Below are 12,350 nucleotides of genomic sequence, written 5' to 3' on the forward strand. Positions count from 1 at the left end.
GGAGTAGCTGGGAGGGACTACAGGCACATGGCACCATGCCCAGCTTTTTTTTTTTTTTTCCAGACAGAGTGTAGCTCTTGTTGCCCAGGCTGGAGTGCAATGGCGCAATCTCAGCTCACCGCAACATGTGCCTCCCAGGTTCAAGCAATAATCCTGCCTCAGCCTCCTGAGTAGCTGGGATTACAAGTGCCTACTACCATGCCCAGCTAATTTTTGTACTTTTAATAGAGATGGGGTTTCACCATGTTGGCCAGGCTGGTCTCGAACTCCTGACCTCAGGAGATCTGCCTGCCTAAGCCTCCTAAAGTGCTGGGATTACAGGCGTGAGCCATTGTGCCCTGCCATGCTATACCAATTTGAGAGGCAAAGTAAGAGTGAATGGTCTCAGGGATGATCAAGAAAAAGCAATGCCTTTGTGAATGTCAAGGGTCCTGTGGCTAGAAGAGAGGATCAGCATGTATATTCTATATTCCATTGGATCTTCAGTCTCCTGTTTTAGAAGTGCATCAGACATAAACTGATTTGTATTTTTTTAGGTGAAATTCACATTTTTAGGTGAAACAAAGTTAACCATTTTAAATTCAACAGTTTGGTGGCCATTTAGTCTTTACAGTGTTAATCTAGTTCCAAAACGTCTTCCTCATTCTTTGTGTTTTAACCCTGTCTCCTAATGTTTAAGTGACACAGTGACAGTGAACTTCTCATCCATCAGTAGTCTTGAGCAGACAATCCTGATGAGTTAGTTCTAGGATTAAAGCGTCCCAGAGTTGGTGGTGCATTTTAACAGGGGCAAACTTGAGGAAGGCAGTGAGACTTAGTAGAGCTCTGAATAACAGCATTTCACCCGGTGCAGAGCTGCCCCACACTACTCTGCCAGTTTCTAGGACAAAAAACCTAACTTTTCCAACAGTTTAATATGCTAAGGTGTACCATGAATGAGAGAGGGGAGGGGGAAATGGTGATATAAGCCAAACCAAGCCCATTGAGAAGCCATGGACCCTGCCCCCAAGGTGGTGAGGCTCTGGGCCTCATGTTTTGAAAGATACTTGGAGACCCTGTTTCTTACCTGGGCACCCTGGGCAAACACAAACCATTCTGTCTACTGTTGGAGGATGAAGTACACAAAGAATCTTCCTAGAAATGCTTCCCACTGGCTGGGCGCAGTGGCTCACGCCTGTAATCCCATCACTTTGGGAAGCCAAGGCAGGCGGATCACGAGGTCAGGAGATCAAGACCATCCTGGCTAACACGGTGAAACCCCGTCTCTACTAAAAATACACACACAAAAAAAAAATTAGCTGGGTGTGGTGGCGGGAGCCTGTAGTCCCAGTTACTGGGGAGGCTGAGGCAGGAGAATGGTGTGAACCTGGGAGGTGGAGCTTGCAGTGAGTCAAGAGCGCGCCACTGCACTTCAGCCTGAGCGACAGAGTAAGACTCCATCTTAAAAAAAAAAAAAAAGAAAGAAACGCTCCCCACTTAATCCCCCCATCCCCTCCTATGGAGATTTCTATTGTTTGTAAAGAATATGCCACTCATATAACTGTATCCATGTCACCTAACCAGGAAGATACCCTAATTAGACAGTTTTGGGGAGCAAGACAAAAACCAGCAGAAAGAGTGCTTGGCTTAGACAAGATGGAGTTTAGATGGTGCCCAAAGAGACCTAGCAACCTTCCAACTAGAAAGGGGCCAAGACCAGGAGTGCTCTTTGTGGAGCCAGGGATCTGTCCATATGGCTTGACAATGCCTAGTCATACAAAACACTCACTGGACTTAAAGTAACTGATGCAAGGTGGGGAGAGGCACAGGCATGGAAGGACTTCACTTGTGCCCTATTTCTTGGAGACCTATCTTTCCTGCCTAACTTTATTTGGCTCTCTTGACAAAAGCCAAAAAGTGTGGTATAGAAGTTGTGATCATACGTCTAGGCATGGTGGCCTGTAATCCCAGCACTTTGGGAGGCCGAGCACTTTGATCACCTGAGGTCAAGAGTTCAAGACCAGCCTGGCCAACATGGTGAAACCCTGTCTCTACTACAAAAAAAATTATCTGGGCATGGTCGTGGACACCTGTAATCCCAGCTACTCGGGAGGCTGAGGCAGGAGAATCGCTTGAACCCGGGAGGCGGAGGTTGCGGTGAGCCAAGATCGCACCATTGCACTCCAGCCTGGGCAAGAAGAGTGAAACTCAAAAAAGTGAAAAAGAAGGCCAGACACAGTGGCTCACGCCTGTAATCCCAGCACTTTGGGAGGCTGAGGTGGGTGGATCATGAGGTCAGGAGATTGAGACCATCCTGGCTAACACAGTGAAACCCATTCTCTACTAAAAATACAAAAAATTAGCCGGGTGTGGTGGCGGGTGCCTGTAGTCTCAGCTTCTCGGGAGGCTGAGGCAGGACAATGGCGTGAACCCGGAGGGCAGAGCTTGCAGTGAGCTGAGATCGTGCCACTGCACTCAGCCTAGGCGACAGAGCGAGACTCCATCTCAAAAAAAAAAAAAAGTAAAAAAGAAGTTGTGATCATAATTACATGACCTTCATGGCAAACATATTCTACAATTAAAAACAGACACCCCGTGTCACAGAAAGATCCAGACCAAGAAACCCAAATGATGAGGAAGATAAAACTAAGGCACTGGGGAATCCTGGGTTGGGGTCTGATCTTAGATAACTGGGTCAGGCCAAGGCACCTGATGAAAGAAGCTGGGTGATCTCATCTCTTGTTCTGAGTTATTTAGTAATATATTTTTTTAAAACCACTTCAGAGGCCGGGCGTGGTGGCTCATGCCTATAATCTCAGCACTTTGGGAGGCCGAGGCAGGCAGATCACAAGGTCAGGAGTTCAAGACCAGCCTGGCCAATATGGTGAAACCCCGTCTCTACTAAAAATACAAAAACAATTGGCTGGGCGTGGTGGCAGTCTCCTGTAGTCCCAGCTACTCAGGAGGCTAAGGCAGGAGAATCGCTTGAACCCGGGAGGCGGAGGTTGCAGTGAGCCGAGATCGTGTCATTGCACTCCAGCCTGGGTGACAGAGGGAGACTGCCTCAGAAAAAAAGAAAGAAAGAAAGAAAAAACCATTTCAGAGGTAAAGTTTTTTTTTTTTTTTTTTTTTTGGAGACAGAGTCTCACTTTCACCCAGCCTGGAGTGCAGTGACACCACCTTGGCTCACTGCAACCTCTGCCTCTTGGGCTCAGGAGATCTTCCCGCCTCAGCCTCCTGAGTAGCTGGGACCACAGGCATGCACCACTATGCCCAGCTAATTTTTGCATTTTTGGTGGAGTCATGGTTTTGCCATGTTGTCCAGGCTGGTCTTGAACTCCTGAGCTCAAGTGATCTGCCTGCCTCAGTCTCCAAAAGTGCTGGAATTACAGGCATGAGCCTCCACAGCCAACCTAGAGGTGAACATTTTGATACTGGTTTTGGTTTTCCCACCCCTTAAAGGCCTAATATGAAGCTTAGGATTTGAACTAGGATGAGAGAATAGAGATGGGGTAGAACACGGGGTGAGGGAGCATGCAACTGCTCTGTAAATGAGAAAATGTATTCAAAGCACCAGGAATACCTGTGGGACCCAGTGCCTTTTAATGGACCTGGCCATCCCACAGTACACAACCAGAAATATGAACTTGTAACACAGTTCAGCTTCAGAATATATCTGCAGTCTCCAGTATTTGTCCAGACTTCCTCCAGTTTACTGTTCTGACCTGCTGTTCTTTCTTACCTGGCTGTCAGATCCACTGGGACATCTAGGAAAAAATCTGCCACCCCCTTCCCCCAAGAAAAGGTCTTGCCCTCCAGCCTCCTCCCACTATGTACAGACATAGAAAGTAGGGACAAGCCGGGCATGGTGGCTCACGCTTGTAATCCCACCTACCTGGGAGGCTGAGACACAAGATCTCGAGCCTGGGAGGCGGAGGTTGCAATGAGCCCAGATCGCACCACTGCACTCCAGAGCAAGACTCTCAAAGAAAAAAAAGAAAGAAAAAGAAAAAAGGGGCCGGGCGCAGTGGCTCACGCCTGTAATTCCAGCACTTTGGGAGGCCGAGGCGGGCAGATCAAGAGGTCAAGAGATCAAGACCATTCTGGCCAACATGGTGAAACCCCGTCTCTACTAAAAGTACAAAAATTAGCTGGGCGGCCGGGCGCCGGTGGCTCATGCCTGTAATCCCAGCACTTTGGAAGGCCGAGGCGGGTGGATCACGAGGTCAGGAGATCGAGACCATCCTGGCTAACACGGTGAAACGCCGTCTCTACTAAAAATACAAAAAATTCTCCTTGAGTGGTAGCGGGCGCTTGTAGTCCCAGCTACTCCGGAGGCTGAGGCAGGAGAATGGCTTGAGCCCGGGAGGCGGAGCTTGCAGCGAGCCGAGATCGCACCACTGCACTCCAGCCTGGGTGACAGAGCGAGACTCCGTCTCAAAAAAAAAAAAAATTAAATTAAATTAAATTAAAAATTAGCTGGGCGTGGTGGCGCTCGCCTGTAGTCTCAGCTACTCGGGAGGCTGAGGCAGGAGAACTGCTTGAACCTGGGAGGCAGAGGTTGCAGTGAGCCGAGATTGCGCCACTGCACTACAGCCTGGGCAACAGAGCGAGACTCTGTCTCAAAAAAAAATAAAAATAAAAATAAAAAAAAAAAAGATAAAAAGGAACAGCCCCTGGTCCAAAATCCCAGATAAGGTAGAATCATTTTTTTTTTTTTTTTGAAACACCAAGTGCGAGTCAGCCTGGGTTTTTAGACCTAAATCTAAAAATGTATTGAACACCTGTATGATTTCATAAATATTGCCCTGATTGACGAGGCACCCCAAAGAAAGGCAGAACTGGATTCAACATGGAAAGAAAGTATCCCAAGAAGCCAGCCATGAGAGTGACAGTCCCATCTGTGCTACAAGAGTAAGGCTACTGAGGTTGAGATGCAAGAGCTTTGTGCTGGGGGGCCACAAGACAGAGCAGATCCGGAATCCAGGCAACCTTCACTTCCAGCCTGAAGACTCTCCTACGAACTATGATAGTAAATGATGGAGAGGCCCTAGGGTTTGGGATCAAACAATTCTGGTTTGAGCACGCACCCCGCCCCACAATCCTTCCTTCTGCCATTTTACTTAATCTTGCTGAACCTGTTTTCCTCAGCCAAAAAAAAAAAAAGCTCGCATAGTGGCTGAACTAATTATGTGAAATATGTGAAATGTGCTTTGCAGCAGGTGGCTTTTAAACTATTGACCAGAAAACACATACACTGAAAAAAAAAATTTTTTTTACATTATAAGCCAGTATACACATATAAGTATATACAATTGAAACAAGAGTTTCACAAAAACTGTACTTACCTTACTACCTGGGAGTCACTTGGTATATTACTATTGTATTTAATTTTTTATATGCTGATTGCAACTCACTACATTGTTTTCACTCCTAATGGGTAGTTTTTTAAAAACACTTTTCAAAACCATGCAATTATCAGTTATTACGAAGATTAGTAAGATTCTCAGGAATGGTCTGATGGCTAGGAATCTTCATTGCCAGGGAAACAAAGGAAAAAGGTCAAGGTTATTAGGTCAAGCCCTTGGGAGCCCTGTTGCCAAGGGAACAGATCGACCCCCGTCAGGGTTGGTTTACCCACGGTCTGCAGCCCTGTGGAGAAAAGGAGTGGCCCGTGGGCCTGTCACTCACATCAGAGTTGGGAAGCCCGCCTCCAAGCCCGGAAGACCCGCCTCCTCTGTAAGGTTAAAGGAGGAAGAGGCAGAGATTGGAGGTTCAGGCAGTGACGTAACTTGCTGCCTTAGGTGGCCTTCCGCTCTGGCGGCTGTCGCGACGGGGGTTCAGGGAATATTTACTGGGCCTCTCCGCTCCCTCTGCTCTTGGAGGTGCCATGAGGTCAGTTAGCTACGTGCAGCGCGTGGCGCTGGAGTTCAGCGGGAGCCTCTTCCCGCACGCAATCTGCCTCGGAGACGTTGATAACGATACGGTAGGTGCATGCGCACCGCAAGAGACAGCCTGGATCTGTGCAGGGACGGGGCAAGGGAAGTGGAAGAGGCCGCCCGAGCGTGCCACGTGAGCGTGAGCATGCGCGCTGTGGCTAGTTTGGAGCGCTAGAGAGAAAAACTTTATTGATAGCTTCAGTGTTCGTGGTTGGTTTTGTTCCTTGGGAGGTTTTGTTTGTTTTTTGAGACAGGCTCCGTCTGTCACCCAGGCTGGAGTGCAGTGGCTTGATTTCGGCTCACCGCAACCTCTGCCTCCCGGGCTCGAGCGATTCTCCTACCTCAGCCTCCCAAGGGGCTGGGATTACAGGCGCCCGCCACCACGCCCGACTAATTTTTGTGTTTTTAGTAGAGGTGGGGTTTCACCATGTTGGCCCAAAGTGCTGGGACTACAGGCCTGAGCCATCGTGCCCAGCCCTTCTCGTTTTTTAAATAAATTACCACAGGTCAAGCAGGTAAAACAATGCCTGGCACACAGTTTAGTGCTCACTTAAGTGTTAGTGGTGGTGGTGGTGGTGTTAGTATTTTATTCTGTTTTTCTGCAAATCTTTACTGAACTGCTCATTATGCACCAAGGACTCTGCTACATTCTAGGAATTCAAAAATGAACGAGAGAGTTCCAGTCCTCAGATAGCTCATAATCAAGCTGTGTAATAGTCACCGGATAATAAAATGTAATGAGATGCATTGACTAAAGTATGGAGAGGATTCTCCGGTGGAGCATTAAAGGGAATAGTGTCTGATGCTCTTTTTTTTGCAGACTTTATCTTTTCATTTATCATCTATTTCATAGTTCTAATGCAAAGCACTGTATTGCCCCCTTCTACCCTCTGCCCTATCTTCCTACTCGGCCTCCCTGCTTCACAGTTCCTTAACTGTCCTGTACTTATTTCCCACCGCCCCCTAGTGCTGTGATGCAGAAGGTATCTTATGAGGCCTTTTTTGGCTCTACCCTCTCTGGGGAGGAAAGAGTTATTCTCATAAATTTGTGTTATGTTTTCTGGGCTTTCGTGTTTCTTCATGAACTGCCAAGCAGTCCAATTTTATGAGAAAATTAGAGGAGGAATTTTTAAAATTTTTTTGTTTTTTATAGAGACAGGGTCTCACTCTGTTGCCCAGGCTGGAGTGCAGTGGTGCAATCGTAGCTCACTGCAGCCTTGAACTCCTGGGCTCAAATGATTCTACTGCCCCAACCTCCTGCGTAGCTGGGACTACAGGTGCCTGCCACCATGTCTGGCTAATTTTTTTAAAGTTTTGTAGAGATGAGGTCTCACTGTGTTAACCAGGCTGTTCTCAAACCTCTGGCTTCAAGCAGTACACTGGCCTCAGTGTCCCAAAGTGCTGGAATTACAGGTGTAAGCAACCTCACCAGGCCATACTTTTAAACAGTAAATTGACAAAGCACCTTCAGATATACATTATTTTCCATTTTATCTGATTGCCTTCTTTGTTTAAAAGCATTCCCTTTTTTTATAGGTTTATAGCACCAGCTTTTTTGAAATTGTACTTATCTGAAAGAATTACACTATTACACACTCACTTCTGCAATGTTAGATATACTACCATTTTTTTTCACCTGAGTTGTAAGCTCCATTACTATAAGCTCCATAGGGGTAGGAATGTTTTAATCTGTTTTTTCCACTGCTATATTCTCAACACTTAGAACAATGTAGGCACTGGCCGGGTGTGATGGCTCACGCCTGTAATCTCAGCACTTTGGGAAGCTGAGATGGAAGGATCATTTGAGCCTAGGAGTTCGAGACCAGCCTGGGCAACACAGGGAAACTCCGTCTTTACAAAAAAATAGAAAAAATTAGCCAGGTGTGGTGGTGCATGCTTGTAGTCCCGGCTACTCAGGAGGCTGAGGCGAGAGGATTACTTGAGCCTAGGAAGTTGAGGCTGCAGTGAGCCATGATCACACTACGGTACTCCAGCTTGAGCAACAGAGTGAGACCCTGTCTCAAACAAACAACAAAAAAACAGAAAGAAAAGAAATAAGAAACGTCAAGTAATAGGTTTGATTTAAAAAAAACCAGTTTTATGCTTCTGTGATCTGATATTCTCACCAGAAAGTCCCATAACAATTATAACAATTAAAAAATAAAGATTTTTTTTTTTTTTGAGACGGAGTTTCACTCTTATTGTCCAGGCTGGAGTGCAGTGACACAATCTCGGCTCACTGCAACCTCTGCCTCCCAGGTTCAAGCGAACCTTGGCCTGCCTCGGCCTCCCAAAAGTAGCTGGGATTACAGGCGTGAGCCACCGCGCCCAGCCAGAAATCAAAGATTCAAATAAATTCCAATTTGTTTCTAACTTTTCCTTACTGTTCACCTGTTTATCTCTGTTGCCTTTAGAACTAAATTTCTTGAGAGTATTAGTTCAATGTATTCTGGGAACAGGAAGGGGATGTTGGCTGTACCCCCAAGAGGAGATCATAAAGCAGTTTGCGGAAGTGGGGTTTGAAGCCACTTGGTTAACATCGTGAGCCCCTGTAAAGGGCAGCTACCCAGATACAAATGGTGGAGAGGCTCCATACAGGGACCTCCCTTCTCTAGAGCTTAGCCATCACTTGAGGGCACTGGAGGCCCAGAGTGGGGAGCAGCCCCTTCAGGCTCTGCCCCCTCAGGCCCCACCATCCTTTGTGGTTCCCACATACACCTCAAGATCAAAAGGCCTTGCTAGAGGAGGGAAGGCCCCAAGAGTTCACATTGTCTTTTTATTTGGCCCCTGATTAAACATGAGGTCTGAAGTTAGATTCTCCAAAACTCCACCATCTTGGGCTGTTTTCAAAACATGTCCCATTTGTAATGGGCAAATTCAAAGAGCCAAAGTCAGGCATGTGTAACCTAGAGCTGTTCAGGTCGCATACTTTTCTGGGGTGGGCCATAGATTGTGTGTAGCCTCAATTCCTGTAACCTCTCCTGCCCCCTAACACACACACCCCTAAATGGAAATAAAGAACTGGGAAACTATGGTTGTGTTGGCCTCAAAAGATTGTTTTGTTTTGTTTTTTGAGACAGGGTCTTGTTCTGTCACCCAGGCTGGACTGCAATGGCACGATCATGGCTCACTGCAGCTTCAGGTTCCTGAGCTCAAGTGATCCTCCTTCCTCAGCCTCCTGAGTAGCTGAAGCTGCAGGTGTGCACCACCACACCTGGATAATTTTTTTTTTTTTTTTTTGAGACAGAGTCTCGCTCTGTCATCAGGCTGGAGTGCAGTGGCACGATCTCGGCTCACTGCAACCTCCACCTCCTGGGTTCAGGCAGTTCTCCTGCCTCAGCCTCCCGAGTAGCTGGGATTACAGGTGTGTACCACCACGCTCAGCTAATTTTTGTATTTTTAGTACAAACGGGGTTTTACCATGTTGGCCAGGCTGGTCTCGAACTCCTGACCTCATGTGATCCACCCGCCTCGGCCTCCCAAAGTGCTGGGATTATCGGCGTGAGTCACCGCACACAGCCTTTTTTTTTTTTTTTTTGAGACAGAGTCTCGCTCTGTCGCCCAGGCTGGAGTGCAGTGGTACAGTCTTGGCTCACTGCAAGCTCTGCCTCCCGGGTTCACACCATTCTCCTGCCTCAGCCTCCCGAGTAGCTGGGACCACAGGCGCCCGCCACCATGCCCGGCTAATTTTTTGTAGTTTTAATAGAAACAGGGTTTCACTGTGTTAGCTAGGATGGTCTCAATCTCCTGACCTCATGATCCGCCCGCCTTGGCCTTCCAAAATGCTGGGATTACAGGCATGAGCCACTGCGCCTGGCCTTTTTTTCTTTTTTTTTTTTTTTTTTGAGAGACAGGGTCTCACTCTGTCACCCAGGCTAGAGTACAGTGGTGCAGTCTTGCTCACTCACTGCAACCTCTACCTCCCAGGCTCAAGCAATTCTCCTGCCTCGGTGTCCCGAGTAGTTGGGACCACAGGCATGCACCACTATGCTTGGGTAATTTTTGTATTTTTTGTAGAGACAAGGTTTCACCATGTTGGCTAGGCTGGTCTCGAATTCCTGAGCTCAACCAACCAATCCACCCGCCTCCACCTCCCAAAGTGCTGGGATTATAGGCATGAGCCACTGCACCTGGCCTCACCTGGCAAATTTTTAAATTTTTTTGTAGAAATGGGATCTTGCCATGTTGCCCAGGCTGGTCTCTAACTCTTGGCCTCAAGTGATCCACCCACCTCCACCACCCAAAGTAGTGGGATTACAAGTGTGAGTCATTGCACCTGGCCAGACTTTTAATAAAGTAGATGAAGATACAAGTTGAGGTCTTGTGATTACCCTTGGCTAGGCTAAGTAGAGAAGAGCTTGAAGAGGTTCAGCAGAGTCCCATCCTAACGCTTTCTTCTCTCTCCATTTGAAGTTAAATGAACTGGTGGTGGGAGACACCAGCGGGAAGGTGTCTGTGTATAAAAATGATGACAGTCGGCCATGGCTCACCTGTTCCTGCCAGGGAATGGTCAGTATTCACTTCCCTGGGCCTGGAGGGGGGAAGGGATCCCTTCTGTCCAGGGACCACCTAGGGTGAGCCCCACACAGGTGCTCACCCATGTGTCCTGACTCCCTAGCTACTGGGCCCAGCCACTGACTTGCAGCCAATTTGATTCAGGGAGGGCAGCCCCCAGCTAGTGCTCCCATCTGTCCTCACACACGCGTGCGTGGGCTGGGGTGTTTTTGTGTCGTGGAGTACTCCTTGACACTTTATGGAAGTTGCCTAAGGTTGTCTAATCTTAAAGTATAGTCAAAAATGGGGGCAATAATTTGAGTAAGTCTAGAAATGTGATAGCCTAGCTCTATTAAATACAGAGTTTCTATTTTATTTTAAGTGCAGGTTGTCTTAACCGCCTCAGGTCTTCATGTTGCTGTCTGGGTAAACCAAACCTACAGCACAGTAACGCCGTTAATAAAGACCATCACCATGGTTCATATGGCGAAAGTCTTCAGTGAGCGATGGTGATTAGAAAACCTGCCCGCTCCTCCTGCTTCACAGAGATCAGGGAGTACTGGTCTCCCTTAGCGTCTCCCTGAGCCTCCCTTTCTCTCTTACAGCTGACTTGCGTTGGGGTTGGAGACGTGTGTAATAAAGGAAAGGTAAGAACTATAGGGGACCTTCCTTGGTTCTTAGCTCACAGTGGAAATCAGTTGAAGGTTAAAGGCTTCAGCTCTGACCTCTGTGATCTGATGATCAGGCTTGTTTCCAAAACTCCCTCCCCAGTCCATCTCTACTATACCTCTGTTTGTCCTAGAACCTGTTGGTGGCAGTGAGTGCTGAAGGCTGGTTTCATTTGTTTGACCTGACACCTGCCAAGGTGTTGGATGCTTCTGGGCACCACGAGACACTAATCGGAGAGGAGCAGCGTCCAGTCTTCAAGCAGCACATCCCTGCCAACACCAAGGTCATGCTGATCAGCGACATCGGTGGGCATGCCTACCTTTGCAGGCAGCCAGGAGAGTAGGAGTCAGTGGATACTAGAGCATATCCCAAGGGATTGGGGTGAGAGGGAGAATCCGTATTCATGTATGCATTTGTTATGTGCTGAGCTCCCATGATAAGCCAGGCATCACTCAAGGCACTGGAATTGCCATAGTGAATAAATAGACAAAAATTGCTGCCCTCCTGGGCCTTATTATGAAGAAACAGAAAAGAAACAATATAGGCTAGGTGTGCTGCCTCTCGCCTGTGATACCAACGCTTTGGGAGGCTGAGATGGGAGGATCACTTGAGGCCAGGAGTTCCAGGCTGTAGTGAGCTATGATCTCACCACTGCACTCCACTCCAGCGTGGGACCCTGTCTCTATTTAAAAAAGGAAAAGAAAAGAAAAACTATACATTTTGTAAGATAATTAAGTAGTATATTAGAAGGTAGTAAGTACACGGCCAGACGTGATGGCTCATCCCTATAATCCCACGACTTTGGGAGGCCAAGGCAGGCAGATCACTTGAGTTCAGGAGTTTGAGACCAGCCTGGCCCACACGGTGAAACTCTGTCCCTACTAAAAATACAAAAAGTAGCCAGGCATGGTGGCAGGCACCTGTTATCCCAGCTACTCAGGAGACTGAGGCAGGAGAATCGCTTGAACCCGGGAGACGGATGTTGCAGTGACCCAGGATCATGCCACTGCACTCTAGCCTAGGCAACAGACTCCGTCTCCAAAAAAAAAAAGAAAATAAGTGCAGCCGACCACGGTGGTTCACGCCTGTAATCCCAGCACTTCGAGAGCACTTTGAGAGGCTAAGGCAGGCGGATCCCTTAAGCTCAGGTGTTCGAGACCAGCCTGACCAACATAGTGAAACCCCGTCTCCAGTAAAAATACAAAAATTGGGCTGGGCACGGTGGCTCACGCCTGTAATCCCAACACTTTGGGAAGCCGAGGAGGGCAG

The 12,350-nt window shown here is 47.8% G+C and overlaps 1 protein-coding gene and 1 long non-coding RNA gene across 5 annotated transcripts in view, besides 3 other annotated features; one reads left to right on the top strand and one right to left on the bottom strand.

The window, feature by feature from the left end:
* Positions 1-6,033, bottom strand: part of ITFG2-AS1 (ITFG2 antisense RNA 1) — a 70,299-nt gene extending 64,266 nt beyond the window's left edge. For both annotated transcript variants that reach the window (NR_146317.1, NR_146318.1), the window contains exon 1: positions 5,671-6,033. This is a non-coding gene — a long non-coding RNA (ITFG2 antisense RNA 1). The remainder of the gene's footprint in view (positions 1-5,670) is intronic.
* Positions 5,324-6,073: an enhancer, noted in NCBI's record as "OCT4-NANOG-H3K27ac hESC enhancer chr12:2921381-2922130 (GRCh37/hg19 assembly coordinates)". NCBI's record gives its function as "activates a minimal SCP1, AML or CMV promoter by ChIP-STARR-seq in naive and primed H9 embryonic stem cells {active_cell/tissue: H9 hESC(naive and primed)}" and the evidence as "EXISTENCE:reporter gene assay evidence [ECO:0000049][PMID:30033119]".
* Positions 5,604-5,693: a silencer, noted in NCBI's record as "silent region_4133". NCBI's record gives its function as "represses an Ori minimal core promoter by ATAC-STARR-seq in GM12878 lymphoblastoid cells {active_cell/tissue: GM12878}" and the evidence as "EXISTENCE:reporter gene assay evidence [ECO:0000049][PMID:35858748]".
* ITFG2 (integrin alpha FG-GAP repeat containing 2) overlaps positions 5,777-12,350 on the top strand; it is a 47,124-nt gene continuing 40,550 nt past the window's right edge. Inside the window, exons 1-4 of one of the 3 annotated variants that reach the window (NR_147202.2) lie at positions 5,777-5,965; positions 10,332-10,427; positions 11,018-11,059; positions 11,215-11,364. Coding sequence is in view for 1 of the 3 variants with exons in the window: in NM_018463.4 (NP_060933.3) it covers positions 5,870-5,965; positions 10,332-10,427; positions 11,018-11,059; positions 11,215-11,386 (406 nt within the window). In the remaining 2 variants the exon portion in view is untranslated. Of the gene's footprint in view, positions 5,966-10,331; positions 10,428-11,017; positions 11,060-11,214; positions 11,463-12,350 lie in introns of all 3 variants that reach the window. The other 2 variants (NR_130744.3, NM_018463.4) reach the window with 2 other exon arrangements.
* Positions 5,804-6,053: an enhancer, noted in NCBI's record as "active region_5815". NCBI's record gives its function as "activates an Ori minimal core promoter by ATAC-STARR-seq in GM12878 lymphoblastoid cells {active_cell/tissue: GM12878}" and the evidence as "EXISTENCE:reporter gene assay evidence [ECO:0000049][PMID:35858748]".

This window comes from Homo sapiens, chromosome 12 (assembly GCF_000001405.40).
Source record: "Homo sapiens chromosome 12, GRCh38.p14 Primary Assembly".
Taxonomy (NCBI): Eukaryota; Metazoa; Chordata; class Mammalia; order Primates; family Hominidae; genus Homo; species Homo sapiens.